This window comes from Homo sapiens, chromosome 7, assembly GCF_000001405.40.
Source record: "Homo sapiens chromosome 7, GRCh38.p14 Primary Assembly".
NCBI lineage: Eukaryota > Metazoa > Chordata > Mammalia > Primates > Hominidae > Homo > Homo sapiens.
Genome location: NC_000007.14, coordinates 127,410,820 through 127,419,838, shown reverse-complemented (window position 1 = coordinate 127,419,838; position 9,019 = coordinate 127,410,820). Strand labels below are relative to the sequence as shown.

Genomic DNA, 9,019 nt, shown 5'->3' with positions numbered 1-9,019 from the left:
TGGGAGTTAAGATTTCAACATATGAATCTGGGGGACACAGTTCAACCCATAACAATGGCAAAGCATGCAATTTTGGCCTTTTTCCTCTTACTGGGATTGATGAAGGATTATGATGAATTTATCCTTAACTTTTGTTTTTCAGTTTCTGTTTTGGTGAGTCATTTCACGGTGAACTTTTGTCTATACAAGAGCAAAAAAACAAACCAAAGCACCACCACTACCACCATCAAAACCCAGAGGGAAGCATCTGGTTGTGACTTTGCTTTTGTCACTAATATATGTCTCAGAACAGATGTGCTTATTTTCTGCAAATGAATACTGATCATCCACTAATTAAATGCATTAGTGGCAAGAAGCAATGTTTGCATCCCACGTTTTCTGCTGTGTGGGCATTCATTAACCAACAAGGTAATGCCCTGGTGAGTAGTTCCCTGGCAAAGCTCTGAGATCTACTGGACCGCTTGTTCCTGCCTCCTGCTCTTAATTTATGAGGCATTAATGATTGCCTGACCAGTAACTGTGCTTGTTAAGACACATTTACACATAGTCCATTGGCAAACCAATTATTTTATCATTAGAATTGGGAAGAATTCATTGGCTTACCTTGGCTTGGAAGCTATTACAACAAGGAGGTTCTCCTAGGTATGAAAGAGATCGTGTTTAAACGAATGCCAGCCTTAAATTTCTTGAGATATACTTGGTGCTCAGCGAATGTCAACTTATTGAATTTATTATTCATTCTATCAAAAAGTCCCAATTTGTTGTGGGTATAAACATGAAATGGTTTTATTTTTTCAAGTGATGCTCTGTCTTTGGGTAATGGGCTCCTTTGAGGCATAATAGTGCACTTCCACAACTTTGAAGACACACATTTGTTAAAACAGTTTATTAAACATGTTTTAAGATTCAGTAGTATTTGTTTTTAAGTATTAAACTCATGCTAGGCCCAAATCTCTATCCACCCCCTCACATATACCAGTAAGACCTCTGGCTCTAGGCTGCTTGGTACTGATAGTGATGGTGGGGACAGTGGTGGTTGTGGTATGGTAGTAGCGGTAGTGTTGTGGTGGTGGTGGTGGTGATGCTGGTAGTAAAGGTGGCAATGATGTGGTGGTGGTGGTGATGGTGGTGATGATAGTAGTGGTGGTAGTGGTGGTGGTGATGGTAGTGATGGTGGCAATGGTGTAGTGGTGCTGGTGCTGGTGGTGATAGTGGTGGTAATAATGGTGGTAGCGATGGTAGTGATAGTGGCAATAGTGCAGTGATGGTGGTGGTGGTGATGGTAGTGGTAATGGTGGTGGTGGTGGCAGTTGTGGTGGTGGCAGAAGCTGGAGTGGTGGTTTGGGCATGGCTGGCAGGAGTGTGGAGAGAGCACACAAAGTGGATACTATGTGAGACACCTCTCTTCATCCCTCCTTTCTCACTGCTTCCCCTCTGGTGCTGGGGTGGGAAGTGAGTGGGAAAGGTAGAAGCAGAGGTCTTCTTACAGAATGACTTATGGTGAGGTAGTAGTTTCCACTCCATTTGTTGTGACTGAGTTACTGATTCTCTAACACTGACTGGTGCTTAACACATTTGCATTTTTGGTAGCAAGCGCATACGGATTCTCTGAGGTGCGTTTGTTGGTTCCTGTAAGGGTGCTAATAGGGACCTCGTCTTTGCATAGTCCCTGGCATTGGGGATCTGGCTTGGACTCCACAGCTATCATGTCTGCAGCCCCTGTCCCAGTTGGTTCCCGCCACTTGCCTCTTGCTGTTGGGGTCCCATTGGCTCTTTGGCCATTGTTCAGTGGAGTAGATCGCTAAGGATCAGGCTCCTTTAGCAGTGTCATCTTGGCCCACAGGCATCCAAGAATCCTTGTTGCTGCTGATAGTGGAAATGCAGGTTGCCCCTCACAGGCAAACCTCTAAGATCTATCATCAGTCTGTGAAGCAGCATCAGGCCCTTTGCTAATCAAGTTCTTGATCCACTCTTAGATAAGACGCTAGCTCTAGTCCCTAGCTTAGTTGAGGTTGGGGGAGTTTGGGAATCCTCAATCTCTCTGATGAACTTTCTTTGGCTTCCTAGAGGTAAAGGAAGAGAATAGCCTCATTTTAATACAAGTGTAGCCTCCCAAATTGTGACCTCTCCTCTCCCAGGTCTTTCCTCCTTAGTTCTTCAAGAATGGTGGAGCCCTGTGGGATAGTATCTTGGCCCTCAGCAGCTGCAGCTGTGACTCAAAATGTGGGGATTTTCTGGATCTTCTTTTTCAGCAGTGGCTCTGAGCTGCCAGTTCTGTCACTCAGAAGAAGGCCACGCGCTTGCTTTCATTTTGTTACCCTAAGTAGAAATAGAAAATGAAAGGGTTGGATCAGATGGTCTTGAACATCTCAACTAACTTTGAGATATGAAAATCACTTGCTAAAAAAAGAGGATGAAACCTCGAGAAATAGTTTTGCTAAAGAAAGTGTAATATTAGATTTTACAGGGCTGGGACTACCAATACGGTAGGTAATGCTCCAAATATAATCAGAATAGGTGGCTACTTGAATAACAGCTTTTCATTTGTTGGGTGCTCTAGGCTAAGATTTATGCAGTCCAGTCTCTCATCTTTACAACATACTGCAAGGGGGTACGGCGGGGGGCGGGGGTGGGTGGTTACTATCAATTCCATTCATTCCATGGATGGGGAAATTGAAGTTCAGAGAAGTTAAGTGGTTGTCCAAATTATGCAAACCTCTTGACTAACAGCATCAGGAGCATTATATTCTCATTCCAACATTTGTATTATGCCGTACAAAATACTCTTCCTAAATGTGTAAGGGTAGTCTAAGTTTATTTGGTAGCAAATAAACTCAAGTACACAAACTCAGCACAATAGAAGTTGATTTCTCTCTCACATGACAGCCCTGGGCAGTTGTTCAGGTTAGTGGGTGGCTCCCCTTGAAGACAACATGCCAGCTCCTTTAATCTTGTGACCCTGCTATCTTCTAGCAGGGCTGTTTTTTAAAAGTTAAATTTACAAAATTTAGGTATAATTTAGATATATTAAAATTCTGTCTTTTTAAGTGTACAGTTCAATGAATTCTGACAAATGTATACAGTTGTGTAACCACTATCACATTCAAGATATAGAATATTTCCATTGCTTCAAAAAGTACTCGTGTGCCTCTTTGTAGACAGTCCCCTTCCTTCCTCACCGATTTCTGTCCTGATAAGTTTGCCTTTTCCACAGTGTCATTTAGATGGGATCACATAGTAAATAACCTTTTTTTTTTCCTGTGTAGATTTTTTTCTCTTTAGCGTAATCCTATCAGGGTTTCTAAACTTTTTGTGTCATGGGCCATGTTGGGAGGTCTGGTCAAGCCTCAAGATTTCCTTCTTGGAATAATGTTTACAAATGCATAAAATTAAATGTTAAGATGACATAATGAAAACTATGTTGAAATATAGTTTTAAAAATATTAAAAGATCTAATTTGTCATGTATAGTATGTGCTTTTATTTCATGCTTAAATAATAATTAGCAGTGGATCTAATTATTACTCTAATATCATAGTAGTGATGAAAATACATTGTATTTTGAGATGTCTGCAGCAACTGTAATAAAATATGACAGCACTGGTGATTTTTATTGGTTAAAGAGTCAGTTACTGCTCATCACACTGTGCTTTGTTGCTTATATTAATAGTGAAAAGAAATGCTACATCCCAAATACAGATTAGTGAAATAAAAATTTAAAGATTTTTCTCATCTAAATCGTAGAGTCCCTGAATTCTATCTAGAGAATTTCTGGGGTTCCATGTGCCCCAGTTAAGAATTCCTCTTTCTAGGGCCCTGTTATCACCTACAACCAGTCTAAGAAGGGCACCGAGAAGCAGTTGTGGGAGATTTTTCTGGGCCTGGCTTTGAAGTAGCATATGTCATTTCTGGTCACATTCCATTGGAGAGAAATCAGTCATAGGACTCCACCTATCTGTAAGAAAGTCTGGGAAATCTAGTCTATTCTGTACCCAAAGATGAGATGAATAGATTTTGGTAGCTAGCTCATGGTCTCTGTGACACTAACCTTATTCCATTTAGCTGTTAGAGGATACCACCTAATATGAGACGATCATAAGATGGAAAATGCATGGTTTTGTACAGTTTAATGATAATATCATTTCTTTAATGATAAAGTAAGTCTGAAACTCAGGACACAAATCTGGATCTTCTCACTCCAGATCTTCTCACTCCAAATCCTATACTCTTTGCAGGATGTTTTGGTGTCTCTTATGATGACACATGATTGAAGAAATACCACAAAGATCTACTTGTATGAAAACATTGTTCCCTTTTCTGTGGAGTCCCTGCACCTGGGGTTTAATGCTCTGTGGCTGCTGTCTTAAAACTTCAATAATTTTATATTTGATTTTGTGTTTTGCAAGTGAAGTCTGATAGGACAACGGAGCATTTGCTGGAGACATGGGGCCTAGACTTACCCAAAGTGCTGCCTCCCTACCTCCCCTGGACAGGTTCTCTGGCTGCCTGCTCTCCAGCCCCTGGTGCCCTAGGCCTGCCCTGCTATCTCCTTCCTAGTCTTACCTATGACCAGTGCCGCCCTTTGCCTGGGCCAGGAACCAGGTCCCGGGTGCAGGTGCAAGGAGGGCCAGAATCTGGTGCATGCCCTGTGGTATCTCAGGGCAGGACAAGGTGGCAGCTGTCTCCATCACAAGCTTGACACCATTTCACATTGTGAAATGACACAATCCATTTCACAGGTGACTTGGTGGAATCCTCTTGAACACACCCGATCCAGGCACTGAGCATATATTGACATGAAAGTGACAGTCCTTTGGGGTTGCCTGTTGCCCCGGGGTTGGGATGCTGACCATGGGGCCCTGCATTTTCATTTTGCACTAGACCTTGCACATTATATAGCTGACCTTGCCTGAGATTCCCAACTAAAGCCACTATGCTGAATTATATAACAGGGCCATCCCCATTGTCTCCAGAAGTTCTTTCTTTTTGACACATAGATTTACCTAGAAGGTATGGAAGGATCCTGGGTAACTCCTTTATCTGTCTTCCACTACCACATTAGTATGGATCGATTCATGATTTTGCTAATTGTGATCAAAGAAGGCAACTTAGTCTGATCCTGAGGAAATCCAGGGCTGTCAGATTTCTGCAAGTAAACTCATGATAACAAATCCTGAGTGATAGAGGCAGTCTGGGCCAAATTGCAAGGCTGAGGCAGAATAGCTAGAGGACCTCAGAGGATCCTGGCTGGAAAAGGCAAATGAGACACAGTGAAGTGCCCCAGGCATGCTGTGCAAGGAGAGGAAACACAAGAGTGGAGGGAAAGGGGATAGGCAAAAAGGGAATTCTCCTTTGCCTGACGACTTTGCTTGGGCTGAGCTTTGCTTTGAAGATTCTTAACCTTGAGGAAAATGGCGGCTGGAAGGTGAGGTGTGTATCAGCAGTGTTTATAGGCACAAATCTAAAAGAATCTTTGAAGTTTGCCTGGTAATTTTGCATATTCTTCTATGACAAGTAGTTGTAGCTCTATTGGTATTATGTTACCCCTCACACAAAAACAAGCCACTCAGAGTAACTTATAGACACATAATTGTGCCAGACTTCTGGTGTTTTTCTACTTCAGTATCAAGAAGAAAAATAAGCAGGAGGACTAGAAATTGAAACTAGAAGTTGTGGTTGCTATACCACTATTCAAAACCACTATTTTACTTCCTTTTGTATAGCCATACTTTCACAGACAAGGCATTACTGTTTTTAGCAAAAAGGTGTTTTGAGTTGGATCATGTTTCCGCCCCCAAGAAATTTATATGTTGCGTTGTGAACCCACAGTAACTGAGAATGTAACATTATCTGGAGATAGGGTCATCACAGAGTAATTGCTTAAGATGAGGTTATACTGGAGTAGGGTGTGTCCCGAATTTAATATGACTGGTGTCCTTAAAAAACTGGGAAATTTGGACACAGAGATACATACACACAGGGGAAATACCATGGGAAGATTGGAGTTCTGCTCCCACAGCAAAGGAACTACCAGAAGCTAGGAGAGAGGTCTGGAACAGATCCTTCCTTAGTGCCTTCAGAGGGAGTATGGCCATGCTGAGGCCTTGGTTTTTTACTCCTAGTGTCCAAAACTATGAGACAATACATTTCTGTTGTTTAAGCCACTCAATCTGTTTGGTGTGTTGTATTGCAGCCCCAGAAAAGTAATATAGTAGGCAGAAGTATTGCTGAATCTGTAAGATAAGAAGTCTTGTTTCATAAAGATTCTCCATTTTATTAGGAAGTGACTGATTCAAACAAGAGAAAAGAAACAGGAACCATGTGTCACTAAGGTATACAGAATAAACCAGCAATTTCAATAATATAATCCGCCAGTAGATGACTCAAAGAACCCTAAATCTTTCTATTTTAGTTACAGTTCTTAAAGAATCACAGAACCCTCTGTCTGAAATGGACAAAGAAATCCAGTACTCCTGTCCTCTCTATTTCCAATAGACATAAATATATTGAATATTTCCCATGAAAAGATTCTATGATCCTTCTCAGAAATTTTTCTTGCTGGTCATTTGGACTTAGTTATTCCATATCTACAGTTTATACACATTTTCTCCCCAAAATGATTCAAGGCAGTTGATGACCCTATTTCTCTCTAGTCTGGAAAGTCATAGCCATGTTGGTGGCTGGATCAATAATACAATCTTCATTAAACCATTTACAGGGACCAATGTGACTCTTCTTGCTATAAAACCAGGTAATGATTATAGGAGATGTCTTGATATTGGATTTAATTCAACTTTATTGAATCATATATTAAAACAAACACAATGGGAAGATTCAGGGAGAGAAGGCAAGATGCATAAAGCCTCCGTATTTTCCAGTTCATGCAGCAGCAACTAGACTCCTCCCGTTCGAGTCTCTCCCTTTATTAATGAGATGTGCAGAGCCCCAGACCACAGCTGAGCAACTATGTTACTTGAAGATAATCAATATATAAAGTTAGGATATAAAGGAGCTAGATTCTTAACATCATTCCTTCACAGCAGCTGGAGATTATCGTTGCTTCCCACCCTGCTTAAAACATTTATAGCTAGCAATCATTAAAATAATACATTTGAATCTGCCCTTAAATCATGAGTTTTATTGTCTTCCCCCTCTGAAGCTTAGCCTTGAGGCTCACTGCAGTGGGAATGAGAGAATAGTTACTTGACTTCTTTAATCATGAAACTAGGCTTGGGCTACAGTTTATTACCTAAATTCCTTTAGCATATCAAGAACCAAGCCTACTCACCTGAGATCATCGCGCCTGCCATAGTGCAGAGAAAATGTCCTTTTCTTGTGTGACAGCCAGCCCGTGAAGCTTGCAGCACTGGCTTGGATAAAGATACAGTGTTACCAGTGATTTTTAACCCAGAGTCCCATTTTCATAACTAATGTTTTGTAATACCTCCTTTCTAATTCTGAAATGAAAGTCATAGGTAACAGAAATTATCTCTACATATAATTTTCAAAAGTCAACATAATAACCTAAGCCTAATACAAAAGAGACATAGAGGGAAAGCAATTTGTTATAAAATAATAAGTCTTTCAATGTGTAAATGCCTGGGCATGTCTAGACTAGAAGATATAATGAAGCAGTTAGATGCTTCTCTCTTATAATGAAAAAGTTTGAATTTAAGAGAAGTAAGAAACTCTTCTATATAAGAAATACAAGAAAATGAAAGAGCAGAAGTACAATGGAAATGAAAATGTAAACTAGAATTAGGATATGTAATAAAAGATCAGACTTATTTGTATGTGATAAGAGAAAGAGGGGAAATAACCATAATTGAATTGTGGATAACAGCCGAGAAAAATTACAGACAGTTGAAAAGGAGAAAATGAGGAAGTATGATATTTGTACAAATGAGTTTGGTCTTGTTTGTTAGTACAATGTAAAATGAGTCTCTTTATTATGACATTGGACAGATTGTATCACACACGCAGAAAACATATCTCCTGTCTTAAAATCCTACTGCATTCCATTTTTGGTATTTAAAAAGACCTTGGATACTGTATCCTTAGATAGGCAAAGAGGAAGAAGGCAGATTGAAAAAGAAAATAACATCAGAAGAGGCTTCCAAAAGGGTTGCTTGATAGGCTTCTGGGAACAGAGTCAAAGAAAGATTGAAAACCAACAGACCATTAAAAACTACTTAATTTTAGTAATTAAGTAACTTTCACAACATAGGTAACATTTTATACAACATTAAAATATCTAAGTTGGAAATCATATAAAATATTTGTAAACAACCCTTATTGTTAACATTCAATTATAGTTCTGGGTTTCTAAGTCTGTTAAAAGTAGTCTCAAATTCCATCTGTACATATTTGCATCTCACAGCAACAAATGCAGACTGATAAAGAAAAGCATGTTGCACCAGCAATTCAAATACCATGAGGGCACTGCCACTGGTGATGAGGTATTCTGAAATAATGAACAAATCTTGCTAAGCTTCCAAATAAAACAAGGTATAATTGGCACACAATTTAGATGGTGGTTGCATTCCTTGAATTCACTGCATATTAAAACCATGCAAAAATACTTCATGATTCCATGTAAACTGGAGTTAGATTCTAGGCTCAGAAAATGATAAGCAATGTTTTCACCTCTATGAAAGTCTAGTGAGATATTCAAAAGTCAGCCATGATATTTCTTTAGAGAAAGTATACAAATGGCCAATAAACACATGAAAAGATGCTCAACATAATTAGCCACCAGGGAAATGCAAATCAAATCACAATGAAAAAAAAAACACAACGAGATACTACTTCACACCAAGTAGGATGGCTATAATAGAAAAGACAGACAACAACAAGTATTGACAAAGATGTGGAGAAATTGGAACCCTCAATATGCTGCTGGCAAGATTGTAAAATGGTGCAGCTACTTTGAAAAACAGTCTGGTTTTTCCTCAAAAGGTTAAGCATAGAGTTACCATATGACCCAGGATTATGCACCTAGGAATATACCCAAGAAAAGT

General features: G+C 39.8%; 1 annotated feature.

The window, feature by feature from the left end:
• Window positions 2,141-2,390: an enhancer, noted in NCBI's record as "active region_26585". NCBI's record gives its function as "activates an Ori minimal core promoter by ATAC-STARR-seq in GM12878 lymphoblastoid cells {active_cell/tissue: GM12878}" and the evidence as "EXISTENCE:reporter gene assay evidence [ECO:0000049][PMID:35858748]".